At 43.0% G+C, this 14,464-nt stretch overlaps 1 protein-coding gene across 2 annotated transcripts, besides 1 other annotated feature; it reads right to left on the reverse strand.

Moving 5' to 3' along the window:
* On the reverse strand, positions 424-6,571 carry KRT34 (keratin 34). 2 transcript variants are annotated; one of them, XM_011524793.3, is made up of 8 exons: positions 6,359-6,571; positions 4,654-5,005; positions 4,468-4,550; positions 3,811-3,967; positions 2,325-2,486; positions 2,108-2,233; positions 1,711-1,931; positions 424-901 (listed from the first exon to the last, which is right to left on the reverse strand). In XM_011524793.3, exons 1-8 carry the CDS (start codon positions 6,406-6,408, stop codon positions 814-816), a joined length of 1,239 nt encoding a protein of 412 aa, XP_011523095.1. In that variant the 5' UTR covers positions 6,409-6,571; the 3' UTR covers positions 424-813. The 2 variants fall into 2 exon arrangements, with proteins under 2 accessions (XP_011523095.1, NP_001372943.1); NM_001386014.1 differs by lacking the exon at positions 6,359-6,571 and having other exon boundaries at positions 4,654-5,061.
* Positions 4,054-5,253: an enhancer, noted in NCBI's record as "BRD4-independent group 4 enhancer chr17:39537551-39538750 (GRCh37/hg19 assembly coordinates)". NCBI's record gives its function as "activates an origin of replication core promoter dependent on BRD2, P300/CBP, MED14 and CDK7 cofactors, and independent of BRD4, by STARR-seq in HCT116 cells {active_cell/tissue: HCT116}" and the evidence as "EXISTENCE:reporter gene assay evidence [ECO:0000049][PMID:35650434]".

The raw sequence follows: 14,464 nt of genomic DNA on the forward strand, positions 1-14,464 counted from the left end.
GCAAGGCAGCAGCAGCAGAGAGGTTGAGAGGAGAGAATCACTGCTCTTTGAACAGTTTCTGTAGAAGCAGTTTCTGTAGTTTCTTCAGGCAGTTTAGGAGAAAGGGAAGCAGAACATTCTATTCTGATGAGGGTGAGAGCTGGAGATAGCAGTGAAGTCTGGGGAGGCTTTGCAAAATTGCCAAGGGCCCTGTAGTCAAGGCAAGGTAAGCATGGGTATTGAAGGCCAGGTTTCCTGCATGGCCTACCCTGGGTGGGAGTCTCCCAGAAGGACGTCCTTCCCTGTCTACATCAGTGTTTCTGGTGAAGCATAAAGGCTTGGCTCAGTCATTTACTTCATTTTATTCTCCTAATGAAGGGGTATTTTTATGAAACAGCCATGATGAGTAATTTACAATGCATGAATATGAATGAGAAACATTTATTATGCCAGAGAAATGAAGTTTATTGGGAAGTAAATGAAGTCTCCTCCTTGCATTCCAGAGAATGCCAAAGAAAAAAGGAAAACAGGAAATGCAGTAGTACGTTCAGGAAACACCTTAAGTAGTAACTGGAGCTCAGATTACAGGGAGCTGAACATCTTTAGAAACAAACAGGCTCGACCCTCAACAGGAAGGAGTTGTCCAGACATTGGAAGTTGATGATGTGTGTCTTTGCTTGGGTCAGGAAAGCTTTTCAGCATTCTAGAAATAACATAGAGGCAAGATGAGGTTTCTTGATGTCAGCTGAGCTCCAGAAAAGTCAGGACTTGAGGATCCTTCCTGTGGTTGATCTAAATGGCTTTGTAGATGTCTTCAAAGAGGATACAAGCTTTTCAATTACAGCAACCCTTTTGAGAGGTGCCACAGGGTCCACAGGAGTTGCCACTAGCATTGGTGGTGGCGCATGGGTTGCAGGGGAGCCTAGGAGGACAAGGAGGTTTAGAATGGCTTTAGGAGGAGGTTTTAATGCACACAATACCTTGGGCTTAATGACACAACCTATGAATTCTCAGTGGCTGGAGTTAGTTGGAATCAAGTTCTTTTTGTTTTGTTTTGTTTTGTTTTTGAGACAGGGTCTTGCTCTGTTGCCTAGGCTGGAGTGCAGTGGTGCGATCTTGGCTCACTGCAAGTGGGAGCCAAGGCTCACTATGCCTCCCAGGTTCAAGCGATTCTCCTGCCTCAGCCTCCCAAGTAGTTAGGATCACAGGCATGCGTCACCATGCCTGGCTAATTTTTTGTATTTTTGGTAGCGATGGGGTTTCACCATGTTGGCCAGGCTGGTCTTGAACTCCTGACCTCAAGTGATCCACCCACCTCAACCTCCCAAAGTGGATTATAGGCATGAGCCATTGCACCCAGCCAGAATCAAGTTCTGATTACTACCAAACCCTTCTCTCTCTCCCAGAATGCCATGTGCAGAGGTGGAAAAATTGTGCTTTTCAAAAATATTATCTCATACTCTTGAGGTCTCCTGGAACTTAATGTGCCTTACACAAATGTTATTCCTACAACTGGCCAGCTCCTGCCACCACTCCTCCATTGTTAGCCCCCTGAGATAGGGGCTGTTCCCTTACCTTTGGCCTCCCTTTGCTTAGCTATCACAGATCACTGGACACATGCTACACAGTTAATGTGTGTTGCCTGACTAGTTGAAAACATGGCCACCATTTGTGTGCCTACAATATCCCACTGTACACATTCTTCCCAGACATTATTTGCCCCATACTCACTTGCAGTCCTCACTCTCCAGGAGGCTCCGGTACGTGTTGATCTCACACTCCAGCCGGGCACGCACGTCCAGCAGCACCTGGTACTCCTGGTTCTGCCGCTCCAGGTCACAGCGGATCTCTGCCAGCTGAGACTCCACGTTGGTGATCAGGCTCTGCACCTGGGACAGCTGGGAGCTGTAGTGGGCCTCGCTCTCCGTCAGCGTGTTTTCCAGAGAGTCTCGCTGTGGTGGGGAAGATCAGGAATGTCAGAGAGCTGCTCCTTCAAAGGGTTTCTTCACAGGATTACAAGGAAGTCACAAGCTCCAAGAGCTAAGGAGAGTGTGTGGCCCCAAGCACATCCCCGGGACTCTGCCTCCCAAGTTCCCATCGCTCACCAGCAGGTCTGAACAATACACACCAGGTTGTGCTGGGCCTGCAGCTCGATCTCCAGGGCGTTGACTGTGCGTCTCAGCTCGATGATCTCCGCCTGGCAGGACTGCAGCTGCTCTGAGCTGGATACCACCTGCTTGTTCAGCTCCTCGGTCTGAAACACCCAAGTGGGGAAAGGATCAGACCCTGTCTCCAGGGCCCTGGGGCACCTCGGGTCCTGAGTGGCCATGTGCTTAGATGCCCACCTGCGTGGCGAACCATTGCTCCACTTCCCTGCGGTTAATTTCCACCAGAGCCTCATACTGACTCCTGGTCTCGTTCAGGACCTGGTTCAGGTCCACAGTGGGGGCAGTGTCCACCTCCACGTTGAGGCGGTCTCCAAGCTGGGAGCGCAGGGTGTTAACCTCCTGTTGGAGAAAAGGGAAACAATGAACCTACGGCAATGGATCTGCCATTTTCCTGCTCCAGGGAAATGAGCACAATACTGCCCAAAAAGCACTAAAAGGAATATTCTGATCATTCCCAAAGAGTGACACACACATTTTATAGCAATAAACTCCAACAGGGATCACATCAATTGCTGTCCCATGGAAGATGTGCCATCTTCCTGCTCTGGGAAAATGAGCTTGATGCTGCCCAGAAAGCACTAAAAGGGGCCGGGCACAGTGGCTCAAGCCTGTAATCCCAGCACTTTGGGAGGCAGAGGCAGGTGGATCACGAAGTCAGGAGATCGAAACCATCCTAGCCAACATGGTGAAACCCCATCTCTACTAACAATACAAAAATTAGCTGGGCGTGGTGGCATGTGCCTGTAATCCCAGCTACTCAGGAGGCTGAGGCAAGTGAATCACTTGAACCAGGGAGTCGGATGTTACAGTGAGCCTAGATCACGCCACTGCACTCCAGCCTGGTGACAGAGCATGACTCCGTCAAAAAAAAAAAAGCACTAAAAGGAAGATTCTGATCATTCCCAAAGAGTGACACACACATTTTATAGCAATAAACTCCAACAGGGATCACGTCAATTGTTGTCCCATAGAAACGGAAACAACCTCACACCTTCTACAAGACTAAGTCTAAACTCCTTGGCATATGCAAGTCCTTCCTCGCTTCCCATCACATCTTCACTTTCATCCCTTGGAGGTACTGCATGCCCAGCCATACCCAGATACACCCTGCCCTGCCACTTCTGTGTCTTTGTTCAACCTCTTCCCTCAGACTGAAACACCCAAGTACTGGAATCCTCCTCTTTGCATCTGAGAAGAGTTCCCTATCTCCTCTTGGGCAGCCTGGATTATTTCTAGAGCATACTGCTTGTACATCTCATATGGTACTTGTTTCACTCTGTCTTGTTTATATCACTGTGTTTATATGACTGTCTTTCTATACTAGACTGTGAGCTCTTTTAAGAAAAGGGCCATGTCTTATTTCTTTTTTGTCCCTCCATCTCCACCACCAAATTCAGGACCTAGCAGTGATCAGCAGAGAGCAGGGCTCAATGAATGATGTCCCTCCTCAGTAATTCCAACACCTGCCTAACCCTCACCCAGCCGCTGAAGAATGAGCAGCTCACTCCACTCCTTGATATGGATGTAGCACCGTCACTCTCTGAGAACATCTTGAGTTCCTCAGAGAAGGGTCCCAGACCAGGGATCCAGACAGTAATCCTCTCCTGATTCCCAGTGCTAGTAGCTTAGTTCTGAGGCCTGCTTTTGTGAATTTGTTTCATACCTCCTCATGGTTCTTCTTCAAGCAGATCAGCTCCTCCCTCAGGGACTCCACCTGGGACTCCAGGTCAGACTTGCAGAGGGTCAGCTCATCCAGGATCCTGCGTATGCTGTTGATGTCCGACTCCACCAACAGCCTCAGGGACTGCTCCGTCTGGTACCTGCACGTGTCGGAGTGGGAGGATAAGTCAGGAAAGAAAACCACCTTCCCCTCTCATGTGTTGTTTGGGTAGAATTGGCCTGAATCTTCTTGAACTTACAGTTTTCTGCCTCTTCTCTTCCATATGCTTCAGTCAAGCTGTCCATGGATAGGCTGAAGAGGTTCCCTGACTCACCTAACACCACGAGGAGCCCACAGGCACACATGAGATGAAGTCTCTCACTGTGTTCTCGGTTTTGTTAGCTAATATACCACCAAATCAATTCCCAAAGAACAATTCATTTCAATCTCTGAATTTTGTGGTTTAAGAAACACTTCCAAAAAAAACCAGTATAGACCAAAGAGCAGGCAGCACATGAGTCTAGTTCCCTATTTGAAACTAATTTTACATAACCAGCCCTAGGAGGAGAAATAGAGAGAAATGGCTTTCTCCTCTCTTCCAGGCAATAGTAGGTCCCTAGGGCCATGAAAGAACCATAGGGACCTTGAAGTTCAACATACTTGCTTCTGAAGTCGTCAGAGGCCAGCTTGGCATTGTCAATGTTCACCACCAGCCTGGCATTCTCAGCCTTGGCACACAGAATCTGAAAAGAAATTTCTCTCATGAGGTACACTTGAACTTGAAAATGTCTTACTGTTCAAAGAGAGCCAGCTGCTGCTGGCCCCCCATATGGCCAACCCCCTCACCTTCTGCTGGAGCTCCTCAATGGTCTTGAAGTAGGACTGGTAGCTGGGGCACAGCAAGGGCTCCTGCTGCTGGGACCGCTCCTGGATGAGTTTCTCCAGCTCCGCGTTGTCCCGCTCCAGCTGACGCACCTTCTCCAGGTAGCTGGCCAGGCGGTCGTTCAGGAACTGCATAGTCTCCTTCTCGCTGCCATTGAAGGAGCCCTCACAGAACCAGTTGCAGTTGCTCACATTGGCGGGGATGTTGCAGGCCCCAGGCAGGGTGTAGCCGTGGCAGCTGGGGGGCACGCAGGGCCGGGAGGAGCAGCTGGTGCGGCAGCCCAGGCTGGGCAGGCAACAACTGTAAGACATGGTGCTGGAACAGGTAATGGAAAAGCAGGTAAGCTGCTGGAGGTGGATGTGGGCAGGTTTGAGTCTCTCCTTCCTCTGCAGTCCTTTTATACCATTAATTGTGGGTGGGGGCTTGGCATACAGCATAGTTTCCTTTCCTAATGCTTCAGCTAATTTTTCTCCAAAATATGCTAGTTAGATGCTTCTAAAGAGTCCCCCCTCAACCCATAAAATTATTCCATTCAGCTTATGTCACACCAGGCTCTTCCTGGGTGCTAGTGGTTGGTGAAATCAGAGTTTCATCAGATGGCTTCATAGGAGATAGAATCATCACAGCCCCAAAAGGCTGTCTGCATTACTCAGAGGGGAGGACAGCCAGGGACATGGGGTGGAGTTGTTTGGGAATCAGGGATTCCTCACCCAGGAGTTTCCGCCACTGTTCTTTCTCCCCAGAGAGAGAGCTCTGAGAGAGAGCTTTGAGAGTTACTCTTCCAAGTAGCTCTTTCCTCCCACATTCATCCATGTTTCAGCATTCAATTTGTTTTTATAGCAGAAACTCAACCTGTATTCGCCGAAATGATCCTGAGCCTTACTATTCGTTGGGGTTTAGGGAACTTGCCAACACATGGAGCAACTGAAAACAATGGCATGTTCATGGTTGAGAAATGAGAAAGTAAAATGGAAACCAATGGAATGGATGGGAGTATACCTAAAAGAGGGCATCTGCAAATGGCAGCCCACACGTCAAGTTTACCCTGCTGAATTTTTGTAAATAAAGTTTTTGTTTGTTTGTTTTCTGTTTTTTTTTTTTTGAGACAGAGTCTCACTCTGTCGCCCAGGCTGGAGTGCAGTGGCACGATCTCGGCTCACTGCAACCTCCACCTCCCGGGTTCAAGCAATTATCTGCCTCAGCCCCCCGAGTAGCTGGGATTACAGGTGCCCGCCACCACACCCGGCTAATTTTTGTGTTTTTAGCAGAAATGGGGTTTCACCATGTTGGCCAGGCTGCTCTTGAACTCCTGAACTCGTGATCCGCCCGCCTCGGCCTCCCAAAGTGCTGGGATTACAGGCGTGAGCCAATGCGTCCGGCAGTAAATAAAGTTTTAATGGAACACAGCCATGCCCATTTGTTTAGCTATTGTATATGGCTGCTTTTGTGCTACAGTGGCAGAGTTGTGTAGTTGTGACAGAGACTATAGTGTCCACAAAGCCCTAAAATTAAAAAATTTGCCAACTTGTACTAAAGCAACAGCCTCTCTAAAGATGAGCAAGAGTAGAAATATCTAGAAGAAAAAATATGCTGGAAACAGTCTGGAGCAGTGAGAGTTCAGATGGCAGCACTGAAGCATGAATATGAAGCATAATACTGCAGACTCACCAAGAAACGAAAATTGGAGCAAGGGTGCTCAGAGGTATCTTTGTATCCATGGTGGCTTTTTCTCAAATTCTCTGGAAATTTCTATCATCTTATTTCTAGACTTGTTCCTCTTTCTAGAGTATTAACTCTCCTAGAGGTATGACTATGCCAGCCTGAGATGCTTCCAGGACAAGCCACAGTGCCCATGAGAATGCAGATTTACTCTGTTGTCCCTACAAGTAGACACTGTCTCTGATAAGTGTGCTTCTATCACCTCTGGGATCCAGTTACCCTTTGACTCTTGCATAACCTAGGGAGCCTCTCTATTGCCCAATAATCACTCTTCACAGAATAGCCTTCCCTACCTCACTTCTTTTCCCTGTCACTCTACCTTGCCTTTGTTCCGCAGGGAAACAAAGTCATGTTTCAGAAAGAAGTCCCAAAAGATTATTTGTGGAACACAATACAAATCATTTAAAGAAGGCTGCATCTGAATTTCAAAAGCAGCATGAGAGGAGCAGAAAAGCACATCTTCGATTTTATTTATTTGAGTGTTTCCTCTTTTTTTCTTAGTCTATCTAGAGGTTTGTAAATTTTCTGTGTCTTTCAAAAAAACTCTGTTTCATTGATTTTTTGCTATTGTTTTTCTAGTCTCTATTTTTATTTATTTCTGCTCTAAGTTTTATCGTAAGTATCATAATAAAATTTAGAGCAAAAAGTGTTATTATATCCTTCCTGCTGCTAACTTTGAGCTTAGTTTGTTCTTTATCTTTTTTAATTTTTTAATTTTTGTAGGTACATGGTAGGCGTGTGTGTATGTTTAGATATAGGTTTATGTATATACATATATAAAACTTTCCTCTTAGTACTGCTTTTGCTGCATCCCATAAATTTTGATACGTTGTGTTCTCATTTTCATTTGTCTCAAGATATTTTCTAATTTCCTTTTTGATTTCTTCTTTGACCCATTGATTATTTAAATGTTTTTTAATTTCTACATATTTGTGTATTTTTCAGTTTTTTTCTTATTTCCGTTCTAGTTTTCTAGTTTCATTCCATTGTGGTAGGAAAAGATACTTAGTATGATTTCAATCCTCTTAAATTCGTTAAGACTTGTTTTGTGACCCAACATATGATCTATCCTGGACAATGTTCCGCATGCACTGGAGAATATGCATTCTGCTACCATTGGATAGAACGTGTTATTTGTTAGGTCCATTTGTTCTATAGTATTGCTCAAATCTGTTGTTTCCTTGTTGATTTTCTATCTGAATGTTCTATTCATTATCAAAAGTGAGTTACTGAATTCTTCTATTATTGCATTGTCCATTTCTCCCTTTGGTTCTGTCAATGTTTGTTATATATATATTAGGTGCTCTGATGTTGGGTTCATATATGTGTGCAATTGTTATATCTTCCTGGTGAATTTTTTCATTATTATATAATGTTCTTCTTTGCCTTTTGTGACAATTTTTGACTTAAAGACTATTTTGTCTGATATATAAGTACAGCCATCCTGCTGTCTTTTGGTTACCATTTGTACGGAATATTTTTTTTCCCATTCCTTCACTTTCAGCCTATACATTGTCTTTAAATCTAAAGTCAGTCTCTTCTAGATAGTATGTAGATAGTACTTGTTGGTTTTTTGAAAATCCATTCAGCTACTCCATGTCTTTTGATTGGAGAGTTTAATTCATTTACATTTCAATAAATTATTGATAGGGAAAGACTAATATTGCCATTTTGTTAATTCTTTTGTCTTTCTCAGAGTTCTTTTGTCTCTCTTTTCCTATCTTGCTGTCTTCCTTTGTGTTGCATGGATTTTTGTATCGATATGTTTTTATTCTTTTTTCTTTTTCTTTTGTGTATCTTCTATAGGTATTTTTTTGTGATCATCATAGGGCTTATATGAAACAACTTATAACTGTCTGTTTTCAGCTGATAACTTTCACTGCATACAAAAACTACTCTTTTGCTTCTCCCACACACATCTTTTATGTATTGATGTCATTATTTACATCTTGTTATATTGCATATGCATTAACCTATTTTTATAGTTATAGTTATTTTTAATACTTTTATCTTTTAAATTTTATAGTAGAGGGCCAAGTGTGGTGGCTCACACCTATAATCCCAGCACTTTTGGAGGCTGAGGAGGGCAGATCACCTGAGGTCAGGAGTTCGAGAACATCCTGGCCAACATGGAGAAACTCTGTCTGTACTAAAAATATAAATATTAGCTGGGCGTGGTGGCAGGCACCTATAATCCCAGCTACTCAGGAGGCTGAGACAGGAGAATCGCTTGAACCCGGGAGGCGGAGGTTGCAGTGAGCCAAGATCACACCACTGCATACCAGCCTGGGTGACAAGAGTGAAACTCTGTCTCAAAAATAAATAAATAAATAAATAAATAAATAAATAAATAAATAAATAAATAAATTTTATAGTAGAATTAAAAGAGTGATTTACCTACCACCATTATAGTATTACAGTAGTCTATATTTATCAGTATATTTACATTTACCAGCAAGTTTTATACTTTCACATGCATTTATATTACTGTTTAACATCCTTTTGTTCCAACTTAAAGAACTTCCTTTAACATTTTTTGTAAGGCAGGTCCAGCGATGATGAACTACCTCAGCTTTTGTTTATCTATAAAAGTCTGTATCTCTCCTTCAGTTTTGAAGGATAATTGTACTGGGAATGATATTCTTGGTTGGCAGTTTGTTTGTTGGTTGGTTGGTTTGTTTTCAGCACTTTAAATATATTATCCCATGTCCTTCCGGCCTGCAAAGTTTCTGCTAAGAAATGTATTAATTACCTTATGGAGGTTCCCTTGTACATGATGTCACTTTTCTCTTGCTGCTTTCAAAATTCCCTATTTGTCTTTGACTTCTGACAATTCAATTATAATGTGTATCACTTTGATTTATCTGAACATCTTATTTGGGATACACTGGGCTTCCTGGATCTGGATGTCAATGTTCTTTCTCAGGTTTCAGGAGTTTTGAGCCATTATTTTTTTTAATAAGTTTTCTAAACTTTCTCTCTCTCTTCTCCTTCTGGATCTTCCTAATGTGAATGTTGGTCTGCCTGATGATGTCCCATACATCTCTTAAGCTTTCTTTACTCTTTTTTATTCTTTTTTCTTTTTGTTCCTCTGGATAATTTCCAATGGCCTGACTTTGAGTTCACTGATCCTATCTCCTGCTTGATTTAGTGTGCTATTGAATCCCTCTATTGAATTTTTCAATTCAGTTATTGTATTTTTCAGCAGCATGATTTCTGTTTGGTACTTTTTGTATTTTCTGCCTTTTTGTTGAAAATTCTCACTTTGTGTATTGTTCTTCTGGCCTTGCAGAGCATCTTTAATTATGGTTATTTTGTTTTTGTTTTGTTTTGTTGAGACAGAGTCTCGCTGTGTTGCCCAGGATGGAGTGCAGTGGCATGATTTCGGCTCACTGCAACCTCCACCTCCTGGGTTCAAGCATTTCTCATGCCTCAGCCTCCTGAGTAGCTGGGATTACAGTTGCGCACCACTGTGCCCAGCCAATTTTTATATTTTTAGTAGAGATGGGGTTTTGCCCTGTTGGCCAGGCTGGTCTCAAACTCCTGACCTCAAGTGATCTACCCACCTCGGCCTCCCAAAGTGCTGGGATTACAAGCATGAGCCATTATGCCCAGCCTGTGATTATATGGTTATTTTGAATTCTCTATTTTGAATATATGGTTATTTCAAATTCTCTTTCGGGTAAATTGTATATCTCTTTCATTGGGGTCAACTTCAGGAGATTTATCTTGTACCTTTGTTTAGGACATATTTCCCTGTTTCTTCATTATCCTTGGATCTTTGTGCTGGTGTCTGTGCATTAGACAAAACAGCCACCTCTCCCAATCTTCACGGACTGGCCTTGTACTGGAGAAGACCTTCACCAATCAGCCCAGCCAGAGATACTGGGGACCTCTCAAATTTTTGTGCTAGTCCAAACCACCATCTTTGCAGCCTCCAGGCATCTTGAGTATGGCTAGTTTCCATAGCACTCTGGCACAGGTGAGACAGAAGCCCATCCCTGATACTGTCCACAGAAAAGACAGAATATTGGACACAGGTCTAACTCTTTCTCTCTCCAGGGAGAGCCTGGGACCCAGGGTTTTTCACTGGCTCGCTCTGAACTTGGCCGGGGGAGAGGGCTGTGGTGAATATTCATATGCTAGTTAAAATTACCCTCTTTGTTCTCAATGGCTCCTAGACGTCTGGAGTATGCTGGATTCCATCCGCATTCTAAGACAGGCAAGACAGAAGCTAGTGCATTGGCAGCTCTCAGAAAAATCTGAATGTTGAATGTATGGTCCAGTTATTTCCTCCTCTCCCTGCAAAGAAGCTGGGAGGGGGATTTCCTCCTAACCATATGATACTATGCTGAGAAAGCAGGGATTATTGTGATAGAGTATCTTAAAATCTTTCTACCAACTTTGATTTGGCTGGTTTTACACTCATCCAGGGTGCAAGAGCCTCTCAAATTGTTACTAGATTTCTCACAAATAAAATTTATCTGAGTATTATTATTGAATTAGTGTGCCCATGACGGTGAGGAGGGTCCAGGGCTGCTTATTCCCTCATCTTGCTGATGTCACTCTCCAAAAAACACGAATTTGAAATTAAATGACCTGGATTTACATCCTTACCTATGATATGAGCTCAGAGAAGTTCATTCCCTTTTTTGAGTCTTGTTTATCTCATCTCTTGAATTGAAATAATAATAATGCTGCCTACCTCATAGTTTTGTTTTTTTGTTTGTTTGTTTTTGTTTTTGTTTTTTTTTGCAAAAGGTAAGGTATTGTGTGTGAACATGTTTGGGGGAGGGAGTGATGATGTTTATTTCCATAAACTTCATTGTTCCTATTGTTGACCCAGGTGGCTCAGATGAAGAATTTTGTGAAAATTCTACTTCGTTAAGCAGACAAATTGCCCATTGCCCATCCCAACCCAGTGGTGCTCAAACTTCACCCACTTACCTTGTAAGTACTAGGGGCACAGAACTCTATTCATAAATTAACCATCAAAATGCAAATGTTAACATTAACTTAGTGGTTGAAATAGGAAGTTGCAGATAACCATTACCTCTATCTTCTCTGCTAAGTTCCTGATCTTGTGGGTTTGGTTATCTTATTTGGGGTAGTTCTGGAGGAGGACAAGTTCTCCACATGAAATTGTAATATCACCAAAGCCTCTTTTCTGGTACTGGGATTGAAATGTGCTTTTGTTATCCTCTTGGAATCTTCTAGCCTTATAGCTCTGTGCAAGCATTTGTAATAATGATAATAATGGCAGTGTTGTTGTTGATGATGATTCTGCCATTTCATCAAGGCTTATTAGATGCCAAACAAGGCACTAAGCACTTTGGCACATTTCTCATTTGATTCTCCCAACAACTGTATAAAGTTGGCCTATTATTCCCATGTTACAGATAAAGAAATAAACTGGGAAAGGCTCCACATTTGCCCTAGATACAGGCAATAAATGGTGGAGCAGGGATTTGAACAATTCAGGTTTATGACTCCTGATCATGAACACCTAAACACAGTACAAAACCTTTATATTTGGCACAGAGGTTTCTCTGGTTTGTGAGGGAAATATTCATTGCTTCCCATTGCCCCTTACTTCGTAGTTTTTCCTTCTGGTCCCCTCTAGGGCCCTGTTCCCCACCCCTTCATACTCCATCATTCCTCCAAAGGCCTCTCTGCCCAAGCCTTTGAGCACCCAGCTAATCTCTATGGTACCTTCCTGAACTAAGGCCAAGTCTTACTCATTTATTTTTCTCCACAGGGAAATAATCGTCCTTTTGCATAATTGATCCAAACTGGAAACTAGATTGTCTTTTCTGAATATCTAAGCAAATTAAAATGCATAATCACATGACCTAAGTGATTTAGAACTTAGAAGAAAGACTACCCTTCTAACCATGAGTTTTAATCCTGTAAAAGTTCATCTCAGAAGTAAATTCAGTTTCCTACAATCAAAGAACTCTAAAGCTAGAAGGACCTGAATTTATGGAGGAGAAAACTAGTGCCCAGACAGTAAGGTAGTAAGGAAATGAATATCAATCAATCACTTTCTAGTCAGATAGTCTACTAGGTACCTTTGCATATAGTATTTCATCCTCACCCCAGAACCTGAGTGTTCAGGTTCCATTTTTGTCACCATGTAGCAGAGATGAAGAATCTGAAATGTTGGGAGTAAATTTAACTCATTCAAAATGACACAAGTAAGCAGGCTTCAGTCGGCCTGACCCATCATATTTATTGTGAGTTAGAGAGATGAGACACTGACCTAGGCCAGGCTGTGACAAAACATAACAGCTGGGAGAAAATGCAGAAGAGAGATCATGGATTCCAATACCAGCTATGAGCACCAGACAAGACACACCTAGGCTTCCTGCACATCACTTTACTCCTCAGCAAACTGGGAGTTTAAAAAGTAACAAATCCCATCTGGGCGCAGTGGCTCACGCCTGTAATCCCAGCACTTTGGGAGGCCGAGGCAGGCAGATCACGAGGTCAAGAGATGGAGACCATCCTGGCCAACATGGTGAAACCCCGTCTCTACTAAAATACAAAAAATTAGCTGGGTGTGGTGGTGGGCGCCTGTAGTTCCAGCTACCTAGGAGGCTGAGGGAAGAGAATTGCTTGAACCTGGGAGGCAGAGGTTGCAGTGAGCTGAGATCGCACCACTGCACTCCAACCTGGTGACAGAGCAAGACTCCATCTCCAAAAAAAAAAAGTAACAAATCCCACAAGCTTATCATGGCATGGCTTGGCTCCTGGAAGTAACGGGATGTGCTTATATAGAGGAAAATGCTGAGCGCTCCTGGACAGCCTGCTGTTCTTCCTGCAGATGCTGACAGCAGCCTCAGGCCTCAAAAAACTCAAATGATGGCTTTAACTCCAGATGTAAGGATGGAAAAAAAAGTGCCTTAGCTCCATCCCAAAGTAAACATAAAATTTGCAGGGAAACAGAAAGGAAAAGAAACAGCAAAAGTATCCAGGAGATAAGCCTAGGGAAAAGTCAAAGGTCGGAGAGTGGTAGATACTGCCGGCTAAGAGTTTAGACCAAGACAGCTCAGGAGGCAATAAAACAGGTCACCAAAGAGCATCAGACATGCCAAATAGCCCAGACAACTGAAAAAGGAGCTGCCCGCCCACCTATCACAAGAGGAGCCTGGGGCCAAAAAGTATCAAATATGCCGAGCAGACCATACACTTCTGGTGCACAGCTGGGTTTAAAGAAGAAAGAATTTATGGTGTGAAAGACAATACGACAATATGCAAATCCTGCTGTTGAACCTAAATCCAAAAAGAAAAAGAAAATGATGATACTTTTTTAACCTTAAGAAACTTAGCTATACCGGCAATAATAAAAATTGTCAATAATCCTAATAAAAATATGTGGTCTACAAAGTGTTTCCATAAACAGTTTTCCATGCTTCCTTTGGCAAGTTTATAAAGTAAGTAGAGAAGACACGGTTATCTCCACTCTACCTTTGGGGCAACTAAAGCTAGGAGAAGCCACATGTCTTATCCAAAGACACAGAGCTATTAAGGTCGTAAATGTCAGAGCTAGAATCCAGGTTCTGGTAAGTGAGTCTCAACCTAGCTCATTGGAGGCTCATCACCTGTAGAGCTTCTAAAACTCCCAGTGACCAGGCTGAATCCCAGATCAATCAAATCAGACTCCCTGAGAGCAGACTCAAGCCTCAAAAAATTGTTTAAGTTCCCTGGGTGATTTCAAACACAGCCAAGGTTGAGAACCACTGTCCTGCCGTGTGTCTGATGATGATGACAGAGCACCTGGAAATAATTTGAAAGCCACATGGAAATGTTTAAGGGGAGGTATAGCTACAACGATTGAGATTTTTATGGTTTAAAAAACATGGCAGAATTTACAGATCCTATAAATTTTGCCTCCAGCCAGAATTTTTCTTTATTCCAGGATGCCATCTCTAGTCAAAGCACGTTTAGAAAGTTCTGTTTTGTTAATGTCTGTATCTTTTTAATATCCAGTTTGCTGATAACAAACCTTTGTCCTTTGAGGATAGGTTTGACTTTTTTGAAGCTGTTCAAAGA

Source organism: Homo sapiens, chromosome 17 (genome assembly GCF_000001405.40).
Source record: "Homo sapiens chromosome 17, GRCh38.p14 Primary Assembly".
Taxonomy (NCBI): Eukaryota; Metazoa; Chordata; class Mammalia; order Primates; family Hominidae; genus Homo; species Homo sapiens.